Source organism: Homo sapiens, chromosome 7 (assembly GCF_000001405.40).
Source record: "Homo sapiens chromosome 7, GRCh38.p14 Primary Assembly".
Lineage (NCBI taxonomy): Eukaryota > Metazoa > Chordata > Mammalia > Primates > Hominidae > Homo > Homo sapiens.
In genome coordinates this window covers 149,155,711-149,169,930 of record NC_000007.14, presented here as the reverse complement: position 1 = coordinate 149,169,930, position 14,220 = coordinate 149,155,711, and the positions used below count along the sequence as shown (strand labels likewise).

Below are 14,220 nucleotides of genomic sequence, written 5' to 3'. Positions count from 1 at the left end.
GTCCCAGGTACCTTTTCCCTTTGCTGATATTACTTTGTATCATTCTAACAAATCTTGCTGTGAGTACAACCATATGGGAATCCTGTGAGTCCTCCTAGCAGATCACGAAATCTGGGAGTGGTCTTTGGGCCCTCCAACAGAGCCAGGAGCATATTTTTTTTTAAGAAAACAAGTACTGAGGTTGGGTGTGGTGGCTCAGGCCTGTAACCCTAGCACCTTGGAAGGCCGAAGCAGGTGAATCACTTGAGTTCACGAGTTCAAAACCAGCCCGGGCAACATGGCAAACCCCCATCTCCACAGAAAATACAAAAATTAGCCAGGCATGGTGGTGTGTGCCTGTAGTCCCAGCTACTTGGGAGGCTGCGATGGGAGGATGGCTTGGGCCCAGGAGGCACAGGCTGCACTGATCTCAGATCATGGCACTGCACTCTGATCATGGCACTGCACTCTAGCCTGGGCAATAGAGCCAGACCTTGTCTTAAAAACAAACAAACAAACGAAAGAAATTGTGAAGCTGACAATTTGATCAACCAACAGAAAATAACAGGCCAGGCACGGTGGCTCATGCCTGTAATCCCAGCAATTTAGGAGGCCGAGGTGGGTGGGTCACCTGAGGTCAGGAGTTCAAGACCGGCCTGGCCAACATGGCAAAACCCCATCGTTACTAAAAATACAAAAATTAGCTGGGCATGGTGGCACATGCCTATAGTCCCAGCTACTCAGGGGGTTGAGGCATGAGCATCTTGAAAACCCATGGTAAAAACAAACTGACAAGATAACAGCAAAATGAAACTTTGATACGTTATCACAAAACCTAATTACTTGTTATCTTTTTCACCCATCCCATAAAATACAATGATATATTCATTTGTACTTGCTGAGGTCTATGACAGATAACTAATAATGTAGACCAAAGAAATATACCCAATAAGAAATCTTTCTGTAGTCAAGTCACTCATCTTTATTGGTGGTATTATTTTAGCCTCATTACTTATATCTGTGATATAAAGATTAGTAAAATGCAACGTGTTACACTGACTAAATGCAATCACCTACACATTCTTAAAAAATAATATGGCCGGGCGTGGTGGCTCACTCCTGTAATCCCAGCACTTTGGGAAGCCAAGGCGGGTGGATCACTTGAAGTCAGGAGTTTAAGACCAGCCTGGCCAACATGGTGAAACCCCATCTCTACTAAAAACACAAAAATTAGCCGGGCGTGGAATCCCAGCTACTCAGGAGGCTGAGGCTGGAGAATCACTTGAGCCTGGAAGGCGGAGGTTGCAGTGAGCCAGGATCACGCCACTGCACTCTAGCCTGGGCGACAGAGTGAGACTCCATCTCAAAATAATAATAATAATAATAAATGTGAGGCAGATGTGTACATTGCTTAAAACTCAATTAAGACTTGAAATTTCATTATATGTAAAATTTACCTGAAAAGAAAAAAACAAATATTGAACTCTAGGTTAATAATATTCATGCTGAACTATTTACAGGAAAATGCATTGATGTCTTCACTGATTTTGAAATACATCAAAAATAGGATAGATGGCTGGGTGCGGTGGCTCATGCCTGTAATCCCAGCACTTTGGTAGGCCAAGGCAGGCAGATCACTTGAGGTCAGGAGTTCGAGACCAGTCTGGCCAACATGCTGAAACCCTGTCTCTACTAAAAATACAAAAATTAGCCAGGCGTGGTGGTGGGCACCTGTAATCCCAGCTACTCAGGAGGCTGAGCCAGAGAATCACTTTAATCCAGGAGGTGGAGGTTGCAGTGAGCCAAGATCGCACCACTGCATTCCAGCCTGGGCGACAGAGTGAGACTCCATCTCCAAAATAAATAAATAAATAATAGACGGATGGCTGGATGGAGTGATGCAGTGATAGATATATGCATGATAAGGAAGGATGGTATAATGTTAGTGGCAGAATTTAGGCGCTGGATATCCAGGTGTTCACTATAAAAATATTTTAACTTTTCTGATTGAAAATTTTCATAATAAAATGTTAGAAAAAAATAAATGTGGCGGTGGCTCAGGCCTGTAATCCCAGCACTTTGGGAGGCCGAGGCGGGTGGATCACGAGGTCAGGAGATCAAGACCATCCTTGCTAACATGGTGAAACCCCATCTCTACTAAAAAATAGAAAAAATTATCCGGACGTGGTGGCGGGCGCCTGTAGTCCCAGCTACTTGGGAACCTGAGGCAGGAGAGTGGCGTGAACCCAGGAGACGGAGCTTGCAGTGAGTCGAGATCGCATGAGCAAGACTCCGTCTCAAAAAAAAAAAAAAAAAAGAAAAGAAAAAGAAAAAAATAACTATATGGGATAGCGGGTGGGTTGTAAGAGAAGTTCATATAATAGAGATGCCCGGAGGATCAACTTTCTGTGTGCTTCTATCCATCAAAGAACAAAAAAGTGTATGAGAATTTTCTGACAGCAAGGTGAGGCATGAGAGAAACAATAAAACTGGACTTTGGTTGGCAGTCTTTCCCACACAATGTTAAGCAGCTGCCAACCAAAAAGTTAGGAAGAGTTCATGATAGCCAGCTTCCCAGACCTGAGAAAATCCATGTTGCCCAGGTGGATGTCATCAGTGTCTACTGGTTCCATGCATCTTAGAGGGACCATGCAGACTCCTAGTCCCTTCAGCACTTATGAAGGGCCATGCTTATATTTGCTCAAGCCAATTTAGTCCAGATGAGCATGACTGCCTCCTTCATCATGTAAGGACATGTTTATTTTATTAAACAGCTAGGTGTCAGTACTTCTGTCAGGAAATGCAACTTGTAACTGTTAGGTGTGTAGTACTGATAGGTGAAGACACTGGACAAGGTGACCTCTAAGCTCCCTTTTATATTTAAATGCCTGATGACACATTCAAAATCTAGTTGCTTTAGCAATGAATGGCTCTAGAAGCCCCTAAGCCCTGCTTAGCTCTGAGCCACCATGTCTGACCAGGAAAGGGAGACAAGAAGTAGGAATCTCTTCTCCCACTTACCTTCACTGGGGTCTGTGGGAATCTCACTTTCCTCTGGCCCTGCCTGGTCCTCTGTATTATGTTCCCCTTCTGGTTGAATCTGAGATAAGACATCAGGTTGATTTATAGCATAATCTAGGAGAGGAAAAAGGAAGAGAGAGTATTACAAAGAGATAAATGAGGATGACAACTAATTGCCATCAAGGCTGAGCTGAAGCTTTGTGGTCACAGTGCCAGGGAATTTCTTTTAGATTTCATATCACTTCTTCCCATCTATCCATCTTCAGCTGTGGATATCTATTCAGGAAAGCAGGCAGTGGAGATGTAATGTGTGGGGAAAGCACATGTGCTAGGTTAGCACTGCTTTCAGAGTGACAGTGTGCCTCAAGGGGGAGAAGTCAAGCTCCTTTCCAAGTGAAGGATACCCATGGAAACCACCAGCTGTCACACCCATAACCCTGAACTTCATTCTCTGTCCTACAATTTGGTAAAAAGAGAGATTATGATTCCTAGTTAGCAAGCATTAATTGGTCATATTTTGGCTTGAAACCAGAATTTGAAGTGTGTGAAGACAGAGTGAGAATGAGGTCACTGGAGGAAAAGGGACTGTTCTGAGCCCTCTTGGAGCTGCTGTCACTTCATTCAAAAGGTGTCAACTCAGCCTCACCCATGGAGATGAGAGACTCGTAGTTGCCCTTCATGATATTCTTGTAAAGTTCCTTTTGCCATTCTTCTAATTTTTCCCACTCTGGAGTGGAAAAGTAGATGGAGACATCATCAAATGCCACAGGCACCTAAAATTACAATCACATGGGTTAGTCCCTTCCATTATAATTCAGTCATTCAATAAATCTCTTTCCAATTAGTTCCTTTTATTTTTTTTACATTTTCAAAGGGTGGTCAATAAATATTCTAAATATCTCTGAAATGGTTTCTTTTAATGCTTCACTTGTCATTAGAAAATCCTAAAATCCTAGTACTCATGCAATACAGCACGAGTCCCTTAAATAAAGCTGGTACCTTTTCTTGAGGCACATTCGAGTATTTTGGTAAGCAGTAATAAAATATCTAAATACCATGTATGTTAAAACTTCAAGCTTTATTGAGTCTTTGATTTCACCTCTTTTAAAATGCCTTTTCTCTAAGAACATCACTCTCCAGGAGATCCAAATTCCTCTATTTGTTTTCTTTGTGTTGTTTCTAGTTCCTCTAGTCTTTTGCCAAGTACAGAGTTCCCTTTGATGCTGTTCATCGTGCACATGAGGAGGAAAGGATAATACCATGGCTGATGACTGAGAGCAAACAGGATTGATTTTGGAGGCATGTTAGGAACCAAAATTAAACTTCAAAATTCATTATGTCTTCTGTGTGTATCCTTTAGTCTTTTCTGAAGCTTTGTACATTCTTCAAATGGAACATTTTGTCTATTTAAAACCCAATTTTCTGTTTCCATTTCTTCTCTACCTGCCTCCAAGATTTACACCTTGTCCTGCCATCTCTTCAATTGTTTTCACGGCAAGATTTCCTGTTTTTCTGGGCAACTGCAGCTCACTGCAATTTCTCTTTAGCTTGACTGTACATTTCCCTGAGATACATTCATGAAGCATATGCTTTTCTTCTAACTGCTGTGTCTGTTCTTTTTCCAATGTCTTTTTGACTTCTAGTTAGACTTTCTCAGCTTGATTTCTTATATTTCAGCATTCCTGTTTTAATGTCTCCATCGTTTCTTTCAGCATTCGGTTCGAACTCTGCAAGTGAGGTAACTTGGATCTGAAAACTACTGATTTACTATTCCAGGTCAAAATTTTCGTTTTTTTCTTCCTCTGCATTTTCTTTCTTTCTTTTCTTTTTTTTTTTTAGAGACAGAGTCTCGCTGTACACCCAGGCTGGAGTGCAGTGGCGCGATCTCGTCTCACTGCAACCTCTGCCTCCCGAGTTCAAGCAATTCTCCTGCCTCAGCCTCCCAAGTAGCCAGGATTACGGGCACCCGCCACCACACACCGCTAATTCTTGTATTTTTAGTAGAAATGGGGTTTCACCACGTTGGTCAGGCTGGTCTCGAGTTCCTGACCTCGTGATCCACCTGCCTCAGCCTCCCAAAGTGCTGGGATTACAGGTGTGAGCCACCGTGCCCGGCCTCCCACAATTTCTTTTCACACTGATGCTTTTCACATTGCTTGCAGACATCATGATCCACTTTCATTTTCTATCTGCTAACTTGTTTTCAAATTCTAGCTTTTCATCCTGTAATGCCAGAAGTCTTTTACAACCTTCTTCCTTGGCATCTGGTGCCTTACATATTAATATATGATCTTTTTTTACTAAGGGCACTTTGTGGTGTTCAATAGCTGGTCTCAGAATTTCATTGTCTGACAGTAAACCATCCAGTTCACTTTGAATCTTTTTCCTTTCCCTTTCTAGCTCACTCTTGCTGCCTCTAGTTTCATGGCTGTTATTTCTAGTATGCTTGAAAGTTTCGTTCTTTGACTTTAGTGCTCAGTGTATTTCTTTCTTTCTCTTTTTTTATTTTTATTTTTATTTTTTTGAGACGGAGTCTTGCTCTGTCACCCAGGCTGGAGTGCAGTGGTGCGATCTTGGCTCACTGAAAGCTCTGCCTCCCGGGTTCACGCCCTTCTCCTGCCTCAGCCTCCCAAGTAGCTGGGACTACAGGCGCCCACCACCACGCCCGGCTAATTTTTTGTATTTTTAGTAGAGATGGGGTTTCACCGTGTTAGCCAGGATGGTCTCGATCTCCTGACCTTGTGATCTGCCCGCCTCGGCCTCCCAAAGTGCTGGGATTACAGGCTCAAGCCACTGCGCCCGGCCCTCTTTCTTTTTTTAAGATGGAGTCTTGCTCCATCACCCAGGCTGGAGTGCAGTGACGCTATCTCGGCTCACTGCAACCTCTGTCTCCTGGGTTCAAGCAATCCTCCTGCCTCAGCCTCCCAAGTAGCTGGGATTACAGGTGCACACCATCACGCCTGGCTCATTTTTGTATTTTTAGTAGACACGGGGTTTCACCATATTGGTCAGGTGGGGCTCGACTCCTGACCTCAAATGATTCACCTACCTCAGCCTCCCAAAGTGCTGGGATTACAGGCGTGAGCCACCGCCACCACTCCCAGCCTGGTCAGGGTATTTCTTTCTTGTTCAGTTTTATGTAATCTTTAATGATTAAAAAGGTACTTTGGCCAGGCGCAGTGGCTCCTAGAACTTTGGAAGGCCAAGGCGGGTGGATCACCCAAGGTCAGCAGTTTGAGGCCAGCCTGACCAACATGGCGAAACCCTGTCTCTACTAAAAACACAAAAATTAGCTGGGCTTGGCCGGGCGCGGTGGCTCACCTGAGGTCGGGAGTTCAAGACCAGCCTGACCAATATGGAGAAACCCCGTCTCTACTAAAAATACAAAATTAGCCAGGGGCGTGGTGGCACAGGCCTGTAGTCCCAACTACCTGGGAGGCTGAGGCAGGAGAATCGCTTGAACTCGGGAGGCGGAGGTTGCGGTGAGCCGAGATCACACCATTGTACTTCAGCCTGCACGACAAGGGCAAAACTCCATCTCAAAAAAAAAAAAAAAAAATTAGCTGGGCATGATGGCGCATGCCTGTAATCCCAGCTACTCAAGAGGCTGAGGCAGGAGAATCGCTTGAACCTGGGAGGCGGAGGTTCCAGTGAGCTGAGATCACGCCACTGCACTCCAGCCTGGGCGACAGGAGTGAAACTCTGTCTGAAAAAAACAAACAAACAAACAAACAAAACAGGTATTTTGTTCATTGTTTGATTGTGGCTCTTTTTCCGAGCATTTAACCTACAGTTTACGTGACATTTTTGGCCTACTGGGACCTGACTGTAACTGCATCTCAGCCAACTGTCACACCTGTATTCTTAGGACGTTTTCTAACTGAGCACCAGAATTCTCTTTTTCAGCCGTTAAATCTGCTACTTCAGCCTCTGAATGAATATATATATATTTTTTGAGACAGACTCTCGCTCTGTTGCCCAGGCTGGAGTGCAATGGCACGATCTCAGCTCACTGCAACCTCCGCCGCCCCCCTCCCCCCACCCAGGGGTTTGCCATGTTGGCCAGGCTAGTCTCAAACTCCTGACCTCAGGCGATCTGCCCACCTCGGCCTCCCAAAGTGCTGGGAGTACAGGCGTGAACCACTGTGCCCAGCCAGCCTATGAATTATTTTAATTTCTGAAACAAATGGACTTTTTCTCAAACAAGTTCCTCTACTCATTTGTTGCCTCTTGTGGGATCAACACTAAGCAGCTGGTTATATAGTTCTACATCTTTCCCCAGTCTTGCAATCTATAATTCAGGCCAGGTGCACTGGCTCATGCCTGTAATCTCAGCACTTTGGGAGGCCAAGGCAGGAGCATCACTTGAGGTTAGGAGTTCGAAACCAGCCTGGACAACATAGTGAGATCCTGTCTGTATAAAGAAATTTAAAAATTAGCCAGCTGTGGGGCCAGGCACAGTGTCTCACACCTGTAATCCCAGCACTTTGAGAGGCCGAGGCGGGCGGATCACGAGGTCAGGAGATCGAGACCATCCTGGCTAACATGGTGAAACCCTGTCTCTACTAAAAATATAAAAAAATTAGCCAGGCGTGGTGGCAGGCGCCTGTAGTCCCAGCTACTCGGGAGGCTGCGGCAGGAGAATGGCGTGAACCCAGGAGGCGAAGGTTACAGTGAGCCGAGACTGCGCCACTGCACTCCAGCCTGGGCGACAGAGCGAGACTCCGACTCAAAAAAAAAAATTAACCAGCTGTGGTAATGCACACCTGTAGTCCCAGCCACTCGGGAGGCTGAGTCAAGAGTCTCACTTGAGCCTTAAGGCTGCAGTGAGCCAAGATAGCACCACTGCACTCCAGCCCAGGCGAGAGCAAGACCCTGTCTTGAAAAATATATAAATAAGTAAAAATAAAAATAAATCTCTAATTCAAATTTTAGAGTTTTTTTCTAAACTACATGTAAATTCTTCTTCCTAGTGTTTCAGATTCTATTTAAGAAATGTATGTTTATAGCAAAGCTTGCAGCTCTATACTTTTCCACTTCTTCATCCCAATTGCAAAAACACTGGAGTTTCTAATTCTTGCTGTATTTGGGCTTTTAACAATTCCCCTTTTTTTTTTTTTTTGGAGTTAATTACCTGCAGCTTCATTTCTTCTAAGTCCTTAGCTTTTCTACTAATTCCCCTCTTAGTTCTTCAAGCAGGAGCTGAAGTTTTTCCTGGTATGTTTGCTTTTCATTTAATAGGCACTTGAGTACTTTTTGCGACTTTATGTACTCATCCTGCCACCTTGTATGCTTGTATGTTAGGCATTCAGAATCTGGTAACTAGTTGTTTTTGGTTTTGGTTTTGTTTTGTTTTGCTTGTTTTTAAGACAGGGTCTCACTCTGTCATCCAAACTGGGGTGCAGTGATGTGATCATTGCTCACTATAGCCTCGACCTCCTGAGCTCAGGTCATCCTCCGATTTCAGCTTCCTGAGTAGCTGGGACGAGTCAGGAAGTGACATGCCACTATGGCGAGTCAATCTTTAGAAACATAATTTTTGTAGGGATGGGTCTGGCTATGTTGCCCAGGCTGGTGTCCTACACCTGGCCTCAAGCAATCCTCCAACCTCAGCCTCCCAAAGCCCTGGAATTACAGGCTTGAGTCACCACACCTGGCCTAAAAACTAGTTTTTGCCTTTCCTCAATATTTTTTGGAAGTCAGGTTGTCAGCCCATTGTCTCTACTAGGAAAGAAAAAAGTTAGGAAAAGATCCTGGTGGCAAGGAGCCAGAGCAAAGAGGAGGAGGGATAGACAGGGTGAGGAGGTGGTGGTGGGACAGGGAGAAGGCAGGGCAAAGAGGAGGAGACACAGTGCCAAAGGGGCGCTGGGGAAATCTGAGGAATCCTGGGAGAGCTCCAAGGGTCAAGAGGGCAGCGTTGGGGAAAGCCCACCTCCTCCTGACAGGCCTCCTTGGGGTGCAGAGCAGAGACACCACCTCAGCCAGCAGCCCGCCCCCACTCTAGCCCCCTCAGTCTAAAAATCTTTACTGTTTACTAAGTGCCTCCTGACTGAGAAAACTATATGGGGTACTGAAAGGATACAGGAAAAATAAGGCACAGACCAATCTCTAGGAGTTCACAATGATTTCAAGAAGAAAGGTGATAATCTAAAGCTGTGAGCTTCTGGAGGGTGGAGGACTCAGAGTTACTCAGAGTTAGATACAAATGCAAAGCATACTTAATTCACACAAGAAAATATTCTGAGTATCCACTACATACAAGGTTTTCCCTAAGCATTGAGATAACTAAAATATGGTTTCTGCCCCAAAGGGGAATATGACTATCTGCAAATGAATGACATGGACAAGACATGGGGCTGGCATGACTCAAAAAGAGATGTGACTTTGGCTAGTCCTAATGGGAATGGAGAAAACATTCAAGTGAAGGAAACTGAAGAGTGCATTCAGAGGAGGACTGTGAATTCTGCCTCACTGGGGTTAAGACTGCATGTAGGGAATGGCCATATGCAGAAGAGAATCCCACTTCCTAGTATAAACTGGTCTATACTCTCAGCTCACTGCAAGCTCCGCTTCCCAGGTTCACACCATTCTCCTGCCTCAGCCTCCCAAGTAGCTGGGACTACAGGCCCCCACCACCACATCTGGCTACTTTTTTGTATTTTTAGTTGAGACCCCCGTGTCAGCCAGGATGGTCTCGATCTCCTGACCTTGTGATCCGCCCGCCTTGGCCTCCCAAAGTGCTGGGATTACAGGCGTGAGTCACCGCGCCTGGCCTAGAAAAGAGGATTTTTTTGGTGTTCCCAACACAAAGAAATGATAAATGCTTCAGGTGATAGATATGCTAATCAGCTAATTATCCTCCTTTTATCATTACACTTTATACAAATGTATCAAAGTTTCACACTGGCTGGGCCCGGTGACTCACACCTGTAGTCCCAGAACTTTGGGAGGCTGAGGAAGAAGGATCACTTGAGGTCAGGAGTTCGAGACAAGCCTGGCCAACATGGGGAAACCCCATCTCTACTAAAAATACAAAAATTAGCCAGGCATGGTGGTGCATGCTTTTAGTCCCAGCTACTCGGGACTGAGACACGAGAATCGCTTGAGCCTGGGAGGTGGAGGCTGAAGTGAGTGGAGACTGTGCCACTGCACTCCATCTTTCTAACAGAGACAGAGTGAGACTCCATCTCAAAAAAAAAAATTTTTTTTTTTTTTGAGGAAAAGTTATTTTGGACCTGGAACTTGGCATTCAAATTTAAGAGCAGAAAAAGAGCATTTTTTTTGAGACGGAGTCTCACTTTGTAGCCCAGGCTGGAGTGCAGTGGTGCGATCTCAGCTCACTGCAACCTCCACCTCCCGGGTTCACGCCATTCTCCTGCCTCAGCCTCCCGGGTAGCTGGGACTACAGGCACCCGCCACCATGCCCGGCTAATTTTTTTTGTATTTTTAGTAGAGACGGGGTTTCACCATGTTAGCCAGATGGTCTCGATCTCTTGACCTCATGATCCACCTGCCTCAGCCTCCCAAAGTACTGGGATTACAGGCGTGAGCCACCGCGCCCAGCCGAAAAAGAGCATTTTCAACAAAGCAAGGACACAAAAGTTTCTCATATTTCAATTTAGTAAATCTTTAATACATTTTGACTAGAATCAAATGCATTTTAATTTCATTAAGAAATATTTAAGAGATGGCCAGGCGCGGTGGCTCACACCTGTAATCCCAGCACTTTGGGAGACCAGGGCAGGTGCATCACTTGAGGTCAGAGTTCCTCTAAAAATTCAAAAATTAACCAGGCGTGGTGGTACACACCTGTAATCTCAGCTACTTGGGAGGCTGAGGCAGGAGAATCGTTTGACCCCGGGAAGTGGAAGTTGCAGTGAGCCGAGATCACGCCACTGCACTGCAGCCTGAGCAAGAGGGAGACTCCATCTCAAAAAAAAAAAATCTTTAAGGGAAATCACATTACTTTATAGATGATTTTAGAGTCTAAGATGGACAGTTTAACTGTTAACCACTTATTCCAGATAAGACAATAATTTTAACTTACCTTTACTATTATTCTTAAAATAAATACTAATTTTCTTTTTTTTTTTTTTTGAAACGGTGTTTCGCTCTGTCACCCAGGCTGGAGTGCAATGGCATGATCTCGGCTCACTGCAACCTCTGCCTCCTGGGTTCAAGCAATTCTCCTGCCTCAGCCTCCCGAGTAGCTGGGATTAGAGGAATGCGCCACCATGCCCAGCTAATTTTGTATTTTCAGTAGAGACAGGGTTTCACCATGTTGGTCAGGCTGGTCTCCAACTCCTGACCTCAGATGATCTGCCTGCCTAGGCCTCCCAAAGTGCTGGGATTACAGGTGTGAGATACCACGCCAGGCCATGAATACTAAATTTAAATTATCCCAAGGAACTTCTGGAGGAGCTCCAGATGCACAAACAAAATGTACTATGGAGAAGGTTCTCTATGAGAAACGGCTCCAATATCCTTCCCAGGTACTTCCTCATCTCCACCCCACTTCACAGAAAAATCTGAAAAAGTTGTTGATCATCTTTCCATTTTTTCTCTTCGCATTCACTCTTCAAAATCTGCTCCATTCAGTCTTCTATCCCACCAGTCCACACAAGCAATTATTGTAAAAGCCACCAGTGACATCTATGCAGACAAATCATACTCAATGTCCTCATCTTTCTAAACCTCCCAGTAACATATTCAACATAAATGACAACTCTCTACTTGGGATGCTTTTTTTTTCTCCTTGGCCCTGTGACACCACATACTTTCCTGTTTGTTTTTTCCTCTACCTCATCAGCCTTTCCTTCTTTTTGATTTTTATTTTTATTCGTTTTTTGGAGACGGAGTCTTGCTCTGTTGCCCAGACTGGAGTGCAATGGCACGATCTCGGCTTACTGCAACCTCCACCTCCTGGGTTCAAGCGATTCTCCTGCCACAGCCTCCCGAGTAGCTACAGGCAGGGACTACAGGCGCCTGCCACCATGAGCCACGGCGCTGGCCCAGCCTTTCCTTCTTAATCTCCTCTGCCGGCTCCTCCTACCACCGGACTTGGTCCTGGACTCTTTTTTTTTTTTTTTTTTTTGAGACAGAGTCTTACTCTGTCGCCAGGCTGGAGTGCAGTGGCACGATCTCGGCTCACTGCGACCTCCGCCTCCCGAGTTCAAGCAATTCTCCTGTCTCAGCCTCCCAAGTAGCTGGGACTACAGGCGAGCGCCACCACGCCCAGCTAATTTTTGTACTTTTAGTAGAGACGGGATTTCACCATGTTGGCCACAATGGTCTCGATCTCTTGACCTCGTGATACGCCTGCCTTGGCCTCCCAAAGTGCTGGGATTACAGGCGTGAGCCACCGCGCCCTGCTGGTCCTGGATTTTCTTTTTTTTTTTTTGAGACGGAGTCTCTGTCGCCCAGGCTGGAGTGCAGTGGCGCCATCTTGGCTCACTGCAAGCTCCGCCTCCCGGGTTCATGCCATTCTCCTGCCTCAGCCTCCCGAGTAGCTGGGACTACAGACGCTCGCCACCACGCCCGGCTAATTTTATATATTTTTTAGTAGAGACGGGGTTTCGCCGTGTTAGCTAGGATGGTCGCGATCTCCTGACCTCGTGATCCGCCCGCCTCGGCCTCCCAAAGTGCTGGGATTACAGGCATTAGCCACCGTGCCCCGCCCTGTCCTGGACTTTCTTAGTCCACTTTTAACGTCTCTCCTGAAAGTATCACAGGCATTTCAAACCTAACATTGTCAAAGGGGAACTCCTAATTTCCTCCCACCCCCAAGGCCACACTTTCCCAAGGTATTCCCCTCAAGGAAACTCCAACACCATCTACCCAGTTCTTCAAGCCGAAAGCCTGAGACAGTAAACCTAACGTGGTTAAGAGCATCTGCTCTGGAGCCAACCTAGTTAAAACACAACTTTGTTATTTATATTAACTATGTGACCTCGGGCAAGTTGGGTTCTTCTGAGACTCATATGCCTTAAAATAAGTAGAACACTTAGAATAGTAAGTTCTAACTAAATTACCACACAGTAAATTTATAATTATTCTTTTTTTTTTTTTTGAAATGGAGTTTCGCTCTTGTTGCCCAGGCTGGAGTTCAGTGGTACAATCTCCCCTCACCGCAATCTCCGCCTTCTGGGTTCAAGCGATTCTCCTGCCTCAGCCTCCCAAGTAGCTGGGATTACGGGTATGCGCCACCAGGCCCAGCTAATTTTTTTGTATATTTAGTAGAGATGGGGTTTCTCCATGTTGGTCAGGCTGGTCTCAAACTCCTCACCTCAGGTGATCCACCTGCCTTGGCCTCCCAAAGTGCTGGGATTACAGGCGTGAGCCACTGCGCCTGGCCTACAATTACTGTTCTTAATGCCTTATTTCCTAATTCCCATCAGTAACTCTTTTTTTTTTTTTTTTTTTTTTTGAGATGGAGTCTCGCCCTGTTGCCTGGTCTGGAGTGCAGTGGCGTGATCTCGGCTCACTGCAACCTCCCCCTCAACTTCAAGCGATTCTCCTGCCTCAGCCTCCCAAGTAGCTGGGATTACAGGTGCCCACCACCACGCTCAGCTAATTTTTTTGTATTTTTAGTAGAGACGGGGTTTCATCATGTTGGCCAGGCTGGTCTCAAACTCCTGACCTCATGATCCGCCCGCCTCAACCTCCCAAAGTGGTGGGATTACAGGCGTGAGCCAATGCACCCTGCCTTCCCATCAGTAACTCTTATTGTCAGTTCTACCACCAAACATCCTGCATCTGTCCACTTCTCTCCATCTCTACAACTGCTACCCTCATCCAAGCCACTTGCATCCCTCCCTGCCTTAGTATTTCCTCCCTTCTTCAGTTCTTCCCCTACGATCCATCCTCCACAAAGCAGCCAAAGGGATTCTTTCAATATATAAAACTGGCCGGGCGCGGTGGCTCATGCCTATAATCCCAGCACTTTGGGAGGCCAAGGCGAGCGGATCACGAGGTCAGGAGATCAAGACCATCCTGGCTAACATGGTGAAACCCCGTCTCTACTAAAAATACAAAAAATTAGCTGGGCATGGTGACGGACGCCTGTAGTCCCAGCTACTCAGGAGGCTGAGGCAGGAGAATGGCGTGAACCCGGGAGGCAGAGCTTGCAGTGAGCCGAGATGGCGCCACTGCACTCCAGCCTGGGCAACAGAGTGAGACTCCATCTCAAAAAAAAAAAAATTAAAAAAAAAAAAAAAAAAA

The 14,220-nt window shown here is 45.8% G+C and overlaps 1 protein-coding gene and 1 pseudogene across 5 annotated transcripts in view, besides 5 other annotated features; both read right to left on the bottom strand.

Moving 5' to 3' along the window:
- Window positions 1-14,220, bottom strand: part of ZNF398 (zinc finger protein 398) — a 56,635-nt gene that overhangs the window by 13,112 nt on the left and 29,303 nt on the right. For all 5 annotated transcript variants that reach the window (NM_020781.4, XM_011516440.3, NM_170686.3 and 2 more), the window contains 2 exons: window positions 3,647-3,773; window positions 3,001-3,114 (listed from right to left, as the gene is read on the bottom strand). In NM_020781.4, coding sequence (NP_065832.1) covers window positions 3,001-3,114; window positions 3,647-3,680 — 148 coding nt within the window. In that variant the 5' untranslated portion in view covers window positions 3,681-3,773. The remainder of the gene's footprint in view (window positions 1-3,000; window positions 3,115-3,646; window positions 3,774-14,220) is intronic.
- On the bottom strand, window positions 4,510-5,503 carry LOC100420549 (centrosomal protein 83kDa pseudogene; annotated as a pseudogene).
- Window positions 8,331-8,480: an enhancer, noted in NCBI's record as "active region_26811". NCBI's record gives its function as "activates an Ori minimal core promoter by ATAC-STARR-seq in GM12878 lymphoblastoid cells {active_cell/tissue: GM12878}" and the evidence as "EXISTENCE:reporter gene assay evidence [ECO:0000049][PMID:35858748]".
- Window positions 9,945-10,004: an enhancer, noted in NCBI's record as "active region_26810". NCBI's record gives its function as "activates an Ori minimal core promoter by ATAC-STARR-seq in GM12878 lymphoblastoid cells {active_cell/tissue: GM12878}" and the evidence as "EXISTENCE:reporter gene assay evidence [ECO:0000049][PMID:35858748]".
- Window positions 12,097-12,664: an enhancer, noted in NCBI's record as "H3K27ac-H3K4me1 hESC enhancer chr7:148854359-148854926 (GRCh37/hg19 assembly coordinates)". NCBI's record gives its function as "activates a minimal SCP1, AML or CMV promoter by ChIP-STARR-seq in primed H9 embryonic stem cells {active_cell/tissue: H9 hESC(primed)}" and the evidence as "EXISTENCE:reporter gene assay evidence [ECO:0000049][PMID:30033119]".
- Window positions 12,665-13,230: an enhancer, noted in NCBI's record as "H3K27ac-H3K4me1 hESC enhancer chr7:148853793-148854358 (GRCh37/hg19 assembly coordinates)". NCBI's record gives its function as "activates a minimal SCP1, AML or CMV promoter by ChIP-STARR-seq in primed H9 embryonic stem cells {active_cell/tissue: H9 hESC(primed)}" and the evidence as "EXISTENCE:reporter gene assay evidence [ECO:0000049][PMID:30033119]".
- Window positions 13,231-13,798: an enhancer, noted in NCBI's record as "H3K27ac-H3K4me1 hESC enhancer chr7:148853225-148853792 (GRCh37/hg19 assembly coordinates)". NCBI's record gives its function as "activates a minimal SCP1, AML or CMV promoter by ChIP-STARR-seq in primed H9 embryonic stem cells {active_cell/tissue: H9 hESC(primed)}" and the evidence as "EXISTENCE:reporter gene assay evidence [ECO:0000049][PMID:30033119]".